The sequence below is a fragment of the Homo sapiens genome, chromosome 17 (genome assembly GCF_000001405.40).
Source record: "Homo sapiens chromosome 17, GRCh38.p14 Primary Assembly".
Taxonomy (NCBI): Eukaryota; Metazoa; Chordata; class Mammalia; order Primates; family Hominidae; genus Homo; species Homo sapiens.
Window position 1 is genome coordinate 63,449,894 of NC_000017.11, and position 16,067 is coordinate 63,465,960.

The 16,067-nt window shown below is 52.5% G+C and overlaps 4 annotated features.

Moving 5' to 3' along the window:
• Nucleotides 793-1,293: an enhancer, noted in NCBI's record as "H3K4me1 hESC enhancer chr17:61528047-61528547 (GRCh37/hg19 assembly coordinates)". NCBI's record gives its function as "activates a minimal SCP1, AML or CMV promoter by ChIP-STARR-seq in naive H9 embryonic stem cells {active_cell/tissue: H9 hESC(naive)}" and the evidence as "EXISTENCE:reporter gene assay evidence [ECO:0000049][PMID:30033119]".
• Nucleotides 6,088-6,946: an enhancer, noted in NCBI's record as "H3K27ac-H3K4me1 hESC enhancer chr17:61533342-61534200 (GRCh37/hg19 assembly coordinates)". NCBI's record gives its function as "activates a minimal SCP1, AML or CMV promoter by ChIP-STARR-seq in naive H9 embryonic stem cells {active_cell/tissue: H9 hESC(naive)}" and the evidence as "EXISTENCE:reporter gene assay evidence [ECO:0000049][PMID:30033119]".
• Nucleotides 6,947-7,805: an enhancer, noted in NCBI's record as "NANOG-H3K27ac-H3K4me1 hESC enhancer chr17:61534201-61535059 (GRCh37/hg19 assembly coordinates)". NCBI's record gives its function as "activates a minimal SCP1, AML or CMV promoter by ChIP-STARR-seq in naive H9 embryonic stem cells {active_cell/tissue: H9 hESC(naive)}" and the evidence as "EXISTENCE:reporter gene assay evidence [ECO:0000049][PMID:30033119]".
• Nucleotides 10,949-11,018: an enhancer, noted in NCBI's record as "active region_12545". NCBI's record gives its function as "activates an Ori minimal core promoter by ATAC-STARR-seq in GM12878 lymphoblastoid cells {active_cell/tissue: GM12878}" and the evidence as "EXISTENCE:reporter gene assay evidence [ECO:0000049][PMID:35858748]".

Consider the following 16,067-nt stretch of genomic DNA (forward strand, 5'->3'; position numbering starts at 1 on the left):
CCTTGGGCAGCAGAGGATACAAAGGGATAAGAGATGGTTCCCCAGTCCTCAGACACTATAAGATTCAAATGCACACCATTCATTCTTGGGAAAGTTTTATTTTTGTACCTTCTCTGTGCCAGGCACTAGGTGAGGTATTGGGGAACAGTGAACAAGACAGGCACCACCCTGTTCTCACAGGCCTTCAGTCAGGGGAGCTGCACAGAGATTTGGGGAGAGCCTTTGAAACTACTCTGCCCAAGCCCATCTCTGACCACCTTACAGAGGGAAAACCAGGATTAGGTACAGGGCATAGGAAGGCCCTCAACCCAGATGTGAGGGTCAGGGAAGGCGTATTGGGTCATGACAGAATTATCGAGCCAGAAGATGCTCAGGTGTTAACCCGGCAGAGATAGTCAGGGAGGAGGCAGGAGTGTCCCTGGTTAGAGGAGCAAGGATGATGCAAGGGAAGGCTGTAGGGGGCTAACCTGCAACCCTCGGGGCTCCCAGGCTTATTTTCATGAGGATTTGCCGGAGCCAGAGTAATAGTGCAGAACTGAGCCACAGCCTGCAGAATCAGCACTCAGGAGCCAAGCCCTGTCCAGCTCAGGAGGGGGCCTGCCCTGAGGGACCTCACAATTGACAGACACAGCCCCCGACCCCATATCCTGCAGTGGAGCAGCCTTAAGTCCGCAGGTATCATCTTCCGGGCCTGCTCCCTGAGGAACTTGAAAGTACGAGGCTACTTTGATGAGCTTAAAATAGACCAATTAATCACTCAGGGAGGAAATCCATCTCCCAGCTTCGGGGGAGGGGACAGGAAAGCAGTAGCCCCGGCAGGACCCGTCAGAGCAGCCAGCAGCACAGCGGCCATGTGGCAGGGCACCTGCAAGGCTTCCGGAGCCACCGACGAAGACCCTGAGTCACCTGCAGCCTCTGGAGTGTGGGGGGAAGGAGGCTGAGGGACGTCATTGCCTGTGAGTTGTCACCCTGCCCCTGGTTAACCCCAAGGCTGGTCAGTCTGGGAAAAACAAGACAGACAAAAGAGCCAAATACCACTGGGGCAAGAGGGAGGGAGAGGCCATGACAGAGAGGACAGTTAAGCCACCTTTTTTTTTTTTTTAAGACGGAGTTTCGCTCTCCTTGTCCAGGCTGGAGTGCAATGACAGCTCACTGCAACCGCCGCCTCCGTGGTTCAAGTGATCCTCCTGCCTCAGCCTCCCAAGTAGCTGGGATTACAGGAATGCACCACCACGCCTGGCTAATTTTGTATTTTTAGTAGAGACGGGGTTTCTCCATGTTGGTCAGGCTGGTCTCGAACTCCCGACCTCAGGTGATCCACCCGCCTTGGCCTCCCAAAGTGCTGGGATTACCGGCGTGAGCCACTGCACCTGGCCCAGTTAAGCCACTTAGCCACTTTTACCTCTGCTGGGCCCAAGGGAATGGGACATGGGGCTGATAAGCAGGGCTGGGGACCAGCTTCACAAAGGAGGTGGCACGGCAGCCCTGGGCGCCACAGGCAAGAGGCAGCCAAAGGAATGGGCTTCCCCAGATGCCCAGTTCATTCCCAGGCAGCCCTCTGGGGAGGCCGCCCTTTCCATGATGATTGCCTGGAGCCAGAGGAGCAGTGCAGAGCCCGGGTCACAGGCTGCACATCAGCACGCAGGAGCCAAGGATCCCATCCAGAGGAGGTCCATTTTCTCTCCTTCCTTTCTTCCAACAAAGGCTTACTGGCACCTGCTTATCCTAGGCCCTGGAGAGACAGTAACAGATCAGACACACAAGGTGTCTGCTTTCATGTAACTTACAAGAAGTGGGTAGACAGGGAATTAAAAAGTAAACTAACGTCTGGGTGCGGTGGCTCACACCTGTAATCCCAGAACTTTGGCAAGCCAAGGCAGGCTGATCACTTGAGGCCAGGAGTTCCAGACCAGCCTGGCCAACATGGCGAAACCCATCTCCACTAAAAAAAATACAAAAAGAAAAACAAAAATTAGCCAGGCGTGGTGGTGCATGCCTGTAGTCCTAGCTACTCGAGAGGCTGAAGCACGAGAATTGCTTGAACCCAAGAGGAGGAGGTTGCAGTGAGCTGAGATTGCACCACAATCTATATCTACATACACACATGCACAGAAACCTGACTGCATGTGTTTTGAAACACAGATGTTATGTTTCAACCTAACAAGCAGCATGAAGAAGAGGCAGAAGGGGACAAACAGGGCGTCAGGCGAGGGCAGGCACTTGTTGGGGGCACTAGGAAGGCTCTGGGAGGGAGAAGTGGGGGCGCAGGCCACATGAAGGTCTAGGGGAGGTGACTCCCATGGATGGAAGAGGGAGGGCAAAGGCACTGAGCAGGAATGTGTATGGTGTCTCCATCCTGCCCTGCCCTCCTCCACTCCTGTCCCCATCAAAGGGGAAAGTCGCTGAGTGTGCAGAGATAGGCAGGAGGAGTGCCAACAGGCCATCAGAGAGGGCAGAGGTTGAAGACGTGAGGTGTGTATCAGGGACCCCACCAGCAATTCCTGGGATCCAGGAACCGTCCATAGACCCATGGCTATAGCTGTGCCTGACCACGTCCCTCACATGCCAGCGAACCTGGACATCAGGCTGAGCTCCCCTCATCTGGTCCTGAGGGTTTGCCCTGCAGCCAGTGCTGTGGCTGAGCGGAGGCACTGCAGCCCCAGCATTGCATTGCCCTGGCCGCCTCTCCCCTCCAGGAAGGAAATCACGAAGAGGCTGTATCCCCAGAGTGTCCTCCATCCCCACCTCCCCACTTTTCTCCCTAAGTTGGTAGGTCAGTCAGTCAGCTGCTCTGTGAGTGCCAGGGGCAGCGAAGAGCAGGAACAGCCCCAGCTGTCTAGGACAGGGAAGCAAGTGTGCAAGGCCTGGGGTAAGGGATGATCATGGCCTTGGGTGATATCAGCAGAGTGAACATACTGCTGATAATGACTGATCACCGCCAGGAACCCGCCATAAATGGCAGGGCTGGGACTCCTGCACTTTGTTCAAAGCCTGTGAGGCTCTGAGGTTTCACCTGGCTCCTGAAGCTGCTCCAGCTCTGGCCACGCACCAAGCCCCTGGTTCTCCACCCACCTTCTCATCCCAGGAGAGCAGTGAGGATGTGGTGGCTGTTCTGAGCCAAAACTGCAGGGTGATGGAGCCACAGCCTGGAAGATGCCCCAACTGGGCACACTGAACTTCGTGACTCCTCCAAGGTATCAGCAAGTCAGCTGCACAATTGTCCTGAGTGAGAGATTTCACCTGACCCTGCTCTGCTCCCTCCTCTACTCCATCCTTATGCTTCTCTTGGCCCTGGCCATTGCCTCCTGCCTGAGCATGCCTATCAGGTCAGCTGATTCTTGTCGAGAGCAGATTAGATTCAAAGGGCACGGTGACTGTAACCCAGAGGCTCCCTCACCCAAGAAGCCACAGTCCTCTAATCCCTCCCAGCCATTGGGAGACCCTCAGAGGTGGCCTGGAGCCAGAGGAATCACACGCTCAGCTGGTGGCCCGGTTCCAGCTGATCTCAGCCTCTGGACTCATCGCCCCTCTGGATCAGTCAGTGCTTCCTTCTCTTCCAGGGATCAAGGGGCGGCTCCTGGAGCAGGGGCAGGGCCCTCCTACTCTTACAGCAAAAGTAGCTCAGGGCTTCTGGGTGGGTTTGTCTCAAGGCCTGGCCTCAAAGCTCTCAGACCCAAAAATGTTCTCCAAAGGTGGGTTCTTAGGTTCCAGGGCCCACAGCTGTTGGAAGGAGGCTCTAATAAGTCATTACCCATTCCAGTTCTGTGTGTGCCCCTGCACAGCCTGGGAGGTGATGTCAGGTCCAGGTGGATGTGACTGAGTGCTCTCATCTGTCTGGAGGATTGTTTTCTCCCCTTCCATAGGCCCTTCTTCAGCTGATAAATCCAAGCACCCCCTGGGGCTCACGTTGGCCCAGCGCTCAGTCCTGGCCACTTCATGTCACTTTGGGGTCCAAGCCCACCTGCTCCTCCTTGCCTGGACACAGCAGCAAATGTGATTGCCCCACACCAGGTAGCTCAGGCTCCTAAGCTCTTTAGTACCCAGTGTAAAGACCCCCCATGACACCTCCCACACTGTCCCCCATTGCACCCCCACAGTGCCCACGTGCCAGGTCAGCACCAGCCTCCCCCAGCCGAGGCCCATCCAGAGTCCTCTTAGGGTCTCTCCTCAGAAGCCCCTGGAGCCTTTCCCGCCAGCTGACCATCAGAGAGAAGGCATTGCCCCCACTTCTCTCCTTCTCTGCACATCTGTCAACCCAGCCACCCTGCCCTGCTCCCAAGGGGGACAGCACGTGGGGGCCTCAGCCTGGCCCCAGAAGTCCACTGCCACATTCCCCACAACATGAGGCATTTTGCCTGTGACATCTGCATGCAAAGCTCTCTCAAGAGGTGCTTCGTTTTTGTTTTTTGTTTTTTAGACATAGTCTCACTGTGTCACCCAGGCTGGAATGCAGTGGTGTGATCTCAGCTCACTGCAGCCTCCACCTCCTGAGTTCAAGCGATTCTCTCACCTCAGCCTCCCAAGCAGCTGGGATTACAGGCACATGCCACCACACCCAACTAATTTTTGTATTTTTAGTAGAGACAGGGTTTCACCATGTTGACCAGGCTGGTCTTGAACTCCTGACCTCAGGTGATCCGCCCACCTCGGCCTCCCAAACTGTTGGGATTACAGGCGTGAGTCACTGCGCCTGGCCAAGAGGTGCTTCTTAAAGCAAATGGCTCCAAGTGAGCTAAAAACTAAATGTCATTTTCTCCCCTAGGAACACCTCCTATGACCCATCATTGATGTCTTCCAGTGAATTTATTTACTGAAGGGCTCTTGAGAAGGGCTTGGGGGGCCACGCAGGGGGGCAGGAAGCTGCCTGGGGCCAGAGACCCCTTCAGAGGACCTGGCCAGGCCCTAGACTTCTAGAGCTGAAGGGTGGACCCAAAGATGAATTTGCTTCTTGTGTCCTGGGTCCCCTGATAGAGACTGTATGAGAAGCCAACAGGAGGAGGGTGCCTCTCCCCAGCCCCAGGCTCTCACAGCCACTTGGACGGCAGTTGTCCCTCCCTCCGTCCCTCCCCTTCCCTCCCTCCCCTCCCTGTGGGTCCCCCACATTTCTGTCTCTGCTCCCACTGCAGGCTGTTTTGTTCCTCCCTGACTCTGTCACCCTCCTCTGCTTCTCTGTCACAGTCTCTCTCCCTTCCCTCAGTCTCTGTCCTTCTGTCTGAGCCGAGGTTCTCTGGGCTTCCAGAGGCAGATGATGGTCTCCAGCTCTTCAGACAGTGGCTGCTTTCATTCCATTTCCTGGCCCCTGTCTGGGAACAATGAAGAAGAATCACGCAGGCACCAGGTCAGTGTCGTGGGGCTTTAGGGCCAGATCAGGCACCCCAGCCCCTGAGCTCCCAGTGGAGTCTTACTAGAGTTGCAAACATTTTTTAGTTTGCCAAGTAAGGACATTTAAAAAAAATAGTCCCTTATTCTCACCACCGTTTTACAAAAGAAGTAATAAAATCTTAACTACAAAAAATAAATAGAAAGGATGTTTGGAATAAAAGATATTGTGACCAAGAAAGGAATGCTGGCAACTTGGCTGATACATCTGGTTGATTTCATATCTATAAATCAGTGTTGCTGTTTTTGCCTCTTTATTGCTGACTACTGAACATTTTATCACTATCAGCCCTGCCAGGGAGCTGGCCATCGGGAGGCACTAATAGAGGGACTTGTGTGGTAGAGCAAGGCCTGAGGAAATGGAGGAGGCAGAGGCCACGCCAGGAAGGACTTTGCACTCACTCTCAGAGTGTGGATTTTATCCCCAAGGTGATGAGACACCGGGGCAGGGCGCTAAGTGAACAGAAGCTGTGGTCAGATTGGAGCATCCTCAGAGCCATGTATAAAAATGGACTAGCTCTCTCCCTCTCCCTCTCCCTCTCCCTCTCCCTCCCTCTCCCTCTCCCTCTCCCCACGGTCTCCCTCTCCCTCTCTCCACGGTCTCCCTCTGATGCCGAGCTGAAGCTGGACGGTACTGCTGCCTGATTCTCCTGCCTCAGCCTGCCGACTGCCTGCGATTGCAGGTGCGCGCCGCCACACCTGACTGGTTTTCGTATTTTTTTGGTGGAGACGGGGTTTTGCTGTGTTGGCCGGGCTGGTCTCCAGCTCCTAACCGCGAGTGATCCGCCAGCCTCGGCATCCTGAGGTGCCGGGATTGCAGACGGAGTCTCGTTCACTCCGTGCTCAATGGTGCCCAGGCTGGAGTGCAGTGGCGTGATCTCGGCTCGCTACAACCTTCACCTCCCAGCAGCCTGCCTTGGCCTCCCAAAGTGCCGAGATTGCAGCCTCTGCCCGGCCGCCACCCCGTCTGGGAAGTGAGGAGCGTCTCTGCCCAGCCGCCCATCGTCTGGGACGTGAGGAGCGTCTCTGCCTGGCCGCCATCCCATCTAGGAAGTGAGGAGCGCCTCTTCCCTGCAGCCATCCCATCTGGGAAGTGAGGAGCGTCTCTGCCCGGCCGCCCATCGTCTGAGATGTGGGGAGCACCTCTGCCCTGCCGCCCCGTCCGGGATGTGAGGAGCGTCTCTGCCCGGCCGCCCCCTCTGAGAAGTGAGGAGACCCTCCGCCCGGCAACCGCCCCGTCTGAGAAGTGAGGAGCCCATCCGTCCAGAAGCCACCCCGTCTGGGAAGTGAGGAGCGTCTCTGCCCGGCAGCCACCTCGTCCGGCAGGGAGGTGGGGGGGTCAGCCCCCCGCCCGGCCAGCCTCCCCGTCCGGGAGGGAGGTGGGGCGATCAGCCCCCTGCCCGGCCAGCCGCCCCGTCCGGGAGGTGAGGGGCGCCTCTGCCCGGCCGCCCCTACTGGGAAGTGAGGAGCCCCTCTGCCCGGCCAGCCGCTCCGTCCAGGAGGGAGGTGGGGGGGTCAGCCCCCCGCCCGGCCAGCTGCCCCGTCCGGGAGGGAGGTGTGGGGGTCAGCCCCCCGCCCAGCCAGCCGCCCCGTCCGGGAGGGAGGTGGGGGGGTCAGCCCCCCGCCCGGCCAGCCTCCCCGTCCGGGAGGGAGGTGGGGGGATCAGCCCCCTGCCCGGCCAGCCGCCCTGTCCGGGAGGTGAGGGGCGCCTCTGCCCGGCCGCCCCTACTGGGAAGTGAGGAGCCCCTCTGCCTGGCCGGCCGCCCCGTCCGGGAGGGAGGTGGGGGGGTCAGCCCCCCGCCCGGCCAGCCGCCCCGTCCGGGAGGTGAGGGGCGCCTCTGCCCGGCCGCCCCTACTGGGAAGTGAGGAGCCCCTCTGCCCGGCCACCACCCGGTCTGGGAGGTGTACCCAACAGCTCATTGAGAACGGGCCATGATGACAATGGCGGTTTTGTGGAATAGAAAGGGGGGAAGGGTGGGGAAAAGATTGAGAAATCGGATGGTTGCCGTGTCTGTGTAGAAAGAGGTAGACGTGGGAGACTTTTCATTTTGTTCTGTACTAAGAAAAATTCTTCTGCCTTGGGATCCTGTTGATCTGTGACCTTACCCCCAACCCTGTGCTCTCTGAAACATGTGCTGTATCCACTCAGGGTTGAATGGATTAAGGGCGGTGCAAGATGTGCTTTGTTAAACAGATGCTTGAAGGCAGCATGCTCCTTAAGAGTCATCACCACTCCCTAATCTCAAGTACCCAGGGACACAAACACTGCGGAAGGCCACAGGGTCCTCTGCCTAGGAAAACCAGAGACCTTTGTTCACTTGTTTATCTGCTGACCTTCCCTCCACTATTGTCCTGTGACCCTGCCAAATCCCCCTCTGCGAGAAACACCCAAGAATGATCAATTAAAAAAAAAAAAAATGGACTAGGGGCAGGGCACAGTGGCTCACGCCTGTAATCCCAGCACTTTGGCAGGCTGAGGCAGGTGGATCACCTGAGGTCGGGAGTTCGAGACCAGCCTGACCAACATGGAGAAACCCCACCTCTACTAAAAATACAAAATTAGCCGGGTGTGGTGGTGCATGCCTGTAATCCCAGCTACTTGGGAGGCTGAGGCAGGAAAATCGCTTGAACCTGGGAGGCAGAGGTTGCAGTGAGCTGAGATCGCGCCATTGCACTCCAGCTTGGGCAACAAGAGCAAAACTCCGTCTCAAAATAGAATAAATAAATGGACTAGGGAGAGGGACTGGGGGGACGAGAAGAGGGGGCCCAGTGGGAAATGATGAGGGTCTGTACTCAGGTGGGGAGAGTGGCAGCAGGGCTGGAGAAGAGGGGTGTTGAGGAGGACTTGAGGAGCTGGGCAGCAAAGGACCAGACCAGAGGGGCCACCCAGAGCTGGCGAGAGGTGTCATCCCTGTCCACATTCCCATAGGGACAGCAGCGGAGGGATCTTTGATTTCACTAGAGGCAGAACCAGGAAAAGTAGGTTTAAGATTTGGGATTAGGCCAGGCATGGTGGCTCATGCCTGTAATGCCAGCACTTTGGGAGGCTGAGGCAGGCAGATCATTTGAGGTCAGGAGTTCATAACCAGCCTGGCCAACATGGTGAAACCCCGTCTCAACAAAAAATACAAAAATTAGCCGGGCTTGGTGGTGCGCACCTGTAGTCCCAGCTACTAGGGAGGATGAGGCAGGAGAATCACTTGAACCCAGGAGGCAGAGGTTGCAGTGAGCTGAGATTGCACCACAGCACTCCAGCCTGGACGACAGAGCAAGACTCTGTCAAAACAAAACAAAACAAACACAATAAAAGATTTGGGATTAAAGGATTGGAGGAACATCCTGGCTCCACAGAATGTGACACTTGATACCATCCAGCCAGAGTAGCCCAGGGCTTCACGCAGTCTGTGGGATGGAGAAGGAGGGACAGCTGGTGGCTCCTGGTGGGGACACGTGTCCCGTTTTGCCTCCATTTGTTGGGTGACCTTAGTCCACCTACCAACCACTTTGTGCCTTGGTTTCCTTATCTGAAAAATGGGAATCAAATGGTACCTAACTCACAGGGTTGCTAGGAGGTTTCACTTCTCTGTGTAAAGCACTAAGATGCCTGGCTCAGTAGACACGGCCTCATGTTGCCATTTCACACGCCAGCGCCCACGCAGCACCCAGGCAGCACCAGCTAATGGAGGGCAGTTAACGTTGGTGATGTGGGGGCAGGAGGCACGATCTTGGCAAATACCAGGCCTGGCTTCAAAGGAAGGCCCAGGTTCGGGGCCACCTTCTGGGCTTGGGCTTAGGTGCAATTTTTTTTTTTTTTTTTTGAGATGGAGTCTTGCTCTTTTTCCCCAGGCTCGAGTGCAATGGTGCAATCTTGCTCACTGCAACTTTTGCCTCCCGGGTTCAAGTTATTCTCCTGCCTCAGCCTCCAAGTAGCTGGGATTACAGGCACACACCACCACACCCAGCTAATTTTTGTATTTTTAGTAGAGACGGGGTTTCTCCATGTTGGCCAGGCTGGCCTTGAGCTCCTGACCTCAGGTGATCCGCCTACCTCAGCCTCCCAAAGTACTGGGATTACAGGCGTGAGCCATCATGCCCGGCCTTGGGTGCTATTTTGAACCCCTTTGATGCCCTGTGAGCAGCTCTCACTTGCCACTCACCCAATGCCTGGGGGGCAGGGAGGTCGACGCTTCATGGAGATTTCCATAGGATGGATGCCTGGTCCAGCAGGGTCCCAATGGGCAGGGGCAGAGGCAGGCAGAGGAAAGGGTCACAAATCTCATAGCCCTAGAAGGGAGTGAGAAGAGGAACTGGCGGGCACAGCCACTCACATCATAGCAGAGGACCTGCACCGTCAAAGCCAAACTAGCAGCATGTCCAAGACCCAAATCCTTCATCTGCTTACCCTCCTTCCCACCTCCCCCAAAACTGTTTCTAGCATGTCCCCCTCCCCATAGAAGGCATCATCACCCCCTCCACTCTTCACCCCCCCCCCAAAGCCAGCCAGTCCACAGCTATCCCTTTCGGTCCCACCTGCAGCCAGCCCCTAAACCTACCACTGCCCTCAGTCGTGGGGTCTCTTCCTTCCTGGTGGTGACAGGGCCTTCTGAGTTTGCTAAGCACAGATCTACACTGCATCAAAGAGATCAGAGAGGTGACTGGGAAAGGCAGATTTGGTCATGGTCCTCCCCAGCTAAAAACCTGTTGCCCTCAGGAGGAAGTCTGAGCCCGCCTTAGCTCCATGGCCTCAGCTTCTGCAGTCTCCGTATCATCCACAGCTCACAGCCTCCTGCCGATCAGTCAGCACGTCTTTCCAGACCTTCTGCTTGAAATGCGAGTCTTCTAACAACTTGCCTGCTGAACTCCTACTCCTCCTTTCAGGGCTCAGCTTAAGCATCGCCTGTGGCCAGGGCTCAGGGCCTGCCCTGCACCTTTCATATCGCCTCTCTGGGAGTGGCTTGTTTAAACATCCCGGGAGCCTGGAGAGGTGGTATCACAGGCATTTGAACCAGAGCGACTCCATCTTGAGTGAGGGCTAGGAAAATGAAGTTGGGACTTGCATTCCCAGAAGGCTATTCCCAGCCTCTAGATGTTTACAGTTAAGGAAATGGATTAATAATGTTTACTAACAAACCCAAACTTCGGAGTGTCCAGATATCCCGATATCTCGAGAACAAAGGCATTCCTAATTTTGCTTCAAAGATAATAATATTGATTCTTGCAAAATTTGGTAATTTTAAAAAAGAATCCTTTATCACAAACCCTGTAGCAGAGCACATCTCCCCATGATCTTTTTTTATCCTATATATATACAAGCACTGTACCTAGGGTGGATGCATTCCTCCTCTTACTTTTGGGAATGCCCTATTCTGTCTATGGAGTAGCTGTTCTTTCACCACTTGACTTTCTAAATAAACTTGCTTTTCCTTTGCACCGCAGACTCGCCCTGAATTCTTTCTTGAGCAAGATCCAAGATCCCTCTCTTGGGGTCTGGATCGGGACCCCTTTCCTATAACAGTGCGACCAGGCTGTCCCTGCTCACCAAGGTGTCTGGGCACGGTCGGTGACTGCTCTTTGTAGGTCTCGGTGAAAACCTGCGGAGGAATGAGTGAGTGTAAGAAAGGGAAGGAGACATTTTTAATTAAGACCAGGCAAGATTAGGCAATAGGAGAAAAGACAGATATGAGTCAAAGCTTACTCACATGTTCCTGGCCTGGGAGGCAGAGATAGATTGTCACTGTCCGCAGCCACGGCAGAGCTGGGCTGTATCCTGGGCCTGAAATGAAGAGGTACCTCCCTCTCCTCCCCTGCTTCCTGGGATTCTGGGCCTGACATCCTATAGCAGGGTACACTGGAGACAGGGCCAGATGAGTTGCCACACTGCATTGTCCCTGGCATGTCACCATTTTTTGTAATTTATTGTTTTTTACTGTGGTGAAATACACCTAACAGCCGGGCACAGTGGCTTACACCTGTAATCCCAGCACTTTGGGAGGCTGAGGCAGGCAGATCACTGGAGGTTCGGAGTTCAAGACCAACCTGGTCAACATGGTGAAACCCCATCTCTACTAAAAATACAAAAATTAGCCAGGCATGGTGATGGGCACATGTAATCCCAGCTACTTGGGAGGCTGAGGCACGAGAATCGCTTGAACCCGGGAGGTGGAGGTTGCAATGAGCTGAGATCGCACCACTGCACTCCAGCCTGGTGACAAAGCTAGACTCCATCTCAAAAAAAAAACAAAACAAAACAAAACAACATCTTGCTTAGTAAGTTTGTGCTTGACCGAAAACTGAGGGGAAGAGCTAAAATGAGACGTGAGAGTTAAGATGGGATTGCTGAGTGAGTCAAAAGAAATTAAGATTGAACTTGACAGTCAGCATTTAAAAGAGAGAAGTCAGATGCACATCGACAAACTGGCCATCTTTCATACGGAAAAGATCTGAGGGTTTGCACTGACTCTCAGTTTCTTTTCTCTTTTTTTGAGACGGAGTCTCGCTCTGTCGCCCAGGCTGGAGTGCAGTGGCTCCATCTCCGCTCACTGCAAGCTCCGCCTCCTGGGTTCACGCCATTCTCTTGCCTCAGCCTCTCGAGTAGCTGGGACTAGGACTACAGGCGCCCGCCACTACGCCCGGCTAATTTTTGTATTTTTAGTAGAGACAGGGTTTCACCGTGTTAGCCAGGATGGTCTCGATCTCCTGACCTCGTGATCTGCCAGCCTCGGCCTCCCAAAGTGCTGGGATTACAGGCGTGAGCCACCGCGCCCGGCCTGACTCTCAGTTTCTATATGAGCTGCAGCAGGTGAGGAGGCTGCCAGAACAACCTCAGCCCTCTTCGGCTGCACCAAGGGAAGGAATTGCATTAAGTGGACCAGGGCTCCCTCTGCGCATGTTAGGCCAGCCCACAGGCTTTACTTAAATACAGGCAGCATAGTTTAGGAGAGATGTGGAAAATCTGCAGTCCATCCATGAGAAGATGACAGAGCATCAGGATACAGAGAACTTCTCTCCCCGGGAATCACTGAAGGCACTGTGTTTCTCCTGGAGAAAAGGAGACATGCTTAGACATGGTTGTGGCCGGGTGTGGTGGCTCATGCCTATAATCCCAGCACTTTGGGAGGCCAAGGCGGGCAGATCACCAGGTCAGGAGATCAAGACCATCCTGGCTAACACAGTAAAACCTCATCTCCAGTAAAAATACAAAAAATTAGCCGGGCGTGGTGGCGGGCGCCTGTAGTCCCAGCTACTCTGGAGGCTGAGGCAGGAGAATGGTGTGAACCTGGGAGGCAGAGCTTACAGTGAGCCGAGATTGCGCCACTGCACTCCAGCCCGGGTGACAGAGTGAGACTCCGTCTCAAAAAAAAAAAAAAAAGACATGGGGTTGCTACCTCTCATCTTGGACAGTGGCCATGTCAAAGAGAAAAGACTCATTGTTTCTCTAGAAAGCACAGTGAAAAACAATAAGCCTGGCCTGGGGCGGTGGCTCATGCCTGTAATAATAAGCCTGGCCTGGGGCAGTGGCTCATGCCTGTAATCCCAGCACTTTGGGAGGCCGAGGTGGGTGGATCACCTGAGGTCAGGAGTTCAAGACCAGCCTGGCCAACATAGTGAAACCCCGTCTCTACTAAAAATATAAAAATTAGCCAGGCTTGGTGGCGCATGCCTATAATCCCAGGTACTTGGGAGGCTGAGACAGGAGAATTGCTTGAACCCAGGAGGCGGAGGTTGCAGTAAGCTGAGATTGCACCACTGCACTCCAGCCTGGCCGACACAGCGAGACTCTGTCTCAAAAAAAAAAAGAGAAAAAAAAGAAAAAGAAAAACAATAAACCTAAAGAAGAGGCAGGAGACACATTTAGCATAACAAAGCAATTTCTAACAACCACAGTGGCTCAGCCCACAGAAGTAGTGAGCTTCTGTCCTTGAAAACGTTCGGATGTGGACAGGATGATGTCGAGGATACCAGAGACATTACTGGCCAGAGAGCAGCGTTTCCCGATTGTTTTCCCCTTCCAAGCATCCCATTCTTAAAGAATCTCATTTTTTGAAATTTAAAATTAACTTTAAATAAATTTCACTTATTAAAAGTAGTGATTATCCCATTTTATCTTTATTTTATTTTATTTTATTTATTTATTTATTTTTTGAGAGGGAGTCTTGCTCTGTCACCCAGGCTGGAGTGCAGTGGCATGATCTCCGCTTACTGCAACCTCCGTCTCCTGGGTTCAAGTGATTCTCCTGCCTCAGCCTCCCGAGTAGCTGAGATTACAGGAGCCCGCCACCACACCCAGCTAATTTTTGTACTTTTAGTAAAGATGGGGTTTTGCCAAGTTGGCCAGGCTAGTATTGAATTCCTGACCTCAAGTGATCCACTTGCCTCGGCTTCCCAAAGTGCTGGGATTACAGGCATGAGCCATCGCGCCCAGCCTAATTGTCCCATTTGAGTAATGAAAAACCTATATACTATCAATCATCCGATGCTCAGCTTGGGGTTCACTGAATAGAAGAAGTGACTCAGCCTTGGGGGTCTGGAAGAGCTTCTGAGAAGCAGAGGTTGTGCCAGAGTGGGGTTTGAGGAATGACTTGGGGGTTCTACAAGCAGACAAAAGAGGGTCTTTGCAGCAGAGAGACTCAGAGGTGAAAACATCAGCTCTGGAATAAACTACTGAGTATAAAGTGGGACTGAGAGGAGGCTGGAAGCAGCAGGGTGCAGATTAAAAAAGGCTTGTCGGTTTGATGAGGGCCGTGCGGGAGCTTTGCCCAGGAAAACAGCATGAGTGAAGAGGAGCTGGCCAAAAAAGAAAAAAGAGATAGAATCCAACTGCATTCAAAGTAAGACCTCCTGTTTATCAAAAGACACCCCCCCACCACCACCAAAGAAATTCATGCAAGTCACAGACTGGAAATGATATCTGTAACACATTTAAATGACAAAGGATTAATATCAAGAATATATAAAGAACTCTTAAGAATCAGTATGGAAAAGAAAAGAAATGGGCAAAGAACACAAACAGGAATATCACAGAGGAGAAAGCACACATGTCCTGTAAACATATGCAAAGATATTTAACCTCATCAGCAACAAGGTAATGAAAATGTCATGCCCCTCAAATTGGCAAAAATTAAAAAATTGGACAGTAGTAAGTGTTGGTGAAGCTATGGAGCAATGTGGGAACTCTTATCCACTGTTGGTGGGAGTGCAAATCAGTGCAACTATTTTGAAAGCAATTTGACATCTGGATACCCTTGAACTTTTGCATACCTTTGAACACCTGCACAGCCTTGGCCCAGTGACTTTACTCCCAGTGTATTCCCTACAGCAGTACTTCTCTCAAACTGTGGTGGAGGACCTGTCTTGTTTCTGTGTTAATTTCCAGTTTGTTTGGGGAATAATCCTTCTTGTAAAATACAATAAAAATGAACCACTAAAAAATGGAATGAAAAAAAGGCATACAATTTACAAGCCCTGATATCTTGCTATTAGATTCAACAGATATAAAATTGCTTATGTATACCAAGGGGACATGTACAAAATGTTCCTGGCAAATCATTTTGTAATAGCAAAAAACAAAAAGTAACTCAAATGTCCATTGACAGGAGATCAGAGAAATAAATTGTGACATAATCACGTGACAAACTATAGAATTGTGAAAATAAATGAACTACAGCTCTATGCAACGACAAAAAAAGTCTCAGAAACATAATTGAGAGAAAGAAGTTTCTATCGCCCCAAAAATAAACCTCAACCCTATTTTCAGTTACTTCTCCTTCTTCTTACCCCCAGCCCCAGGCAATCACTCATCTACTTCCGTCTCTATAGAGTTGACTTTTCTAGACATTTCCTATACATGGAATCTTACAATATGTAGTCTTTTGGGTCTGGCTTCTTTCACTTAGCACCCTGTTTTGGGGGTTTCACCCTTTGTTGTGGGATATATTAGAGCCTTATTCCTTTGTATTGCCAAATAACCACCTATGTCGATATGCCACATTTTGTTCATCCATTCACCAGCTGATGACATTTGAGTGGCTTCCACTTCTCCGCAAGTTTGAAGGATGCTGCCTTGGGTGTAGGTCTTTGCACTGATGTGTTTTCATTTCCCTTGAATTCAAACGCAGGTGGTATTGTTATTATAAAGCTCTACAACAAGAAAAATTCATTAGTATGATGTTTAGAGATACATATAAAGTACTGAAACTTTTTTTTTTTTTTTTTTTTGAGACGGAGTTTTGCTCTTATTGCCCAGGCTGGAGTGCAATGGTGTGATCTCGGCTCACCGCAGCCTCCGCCTCCCAGGTTTCAAGCGATTCTCCTGCCTCAGCCTCCTGAGTAGCTGGAATTACAGGCATGAACCACCATACCTGGCTAATTTTGTATTTTTAGTAGAGACGGGGTTTCTCCATGTTGGTCAAGCTGGTCTTGAACTCCCGACCTCAGGTGATCCACCTGCCTCGGCCTCCCAAAGTGCTGGGATTACAGGAGTGATCTACCAGGCCTGGCCAGTACTGAAACTTTTTTAAGGGAATAATAACAGCATTCAGGGCCAGACACGATGGCTCACACCTGTAATCTCCGCACTTTGGGAAGCTGAGGTGGTGGATCACCTGAGGTTGGGAGTTTGAAACCAGCCTCACCAACATGGCGAAACCCGGTCTCTACTAAAAAATACAAAAATTAGGCTGGGTGCGGTG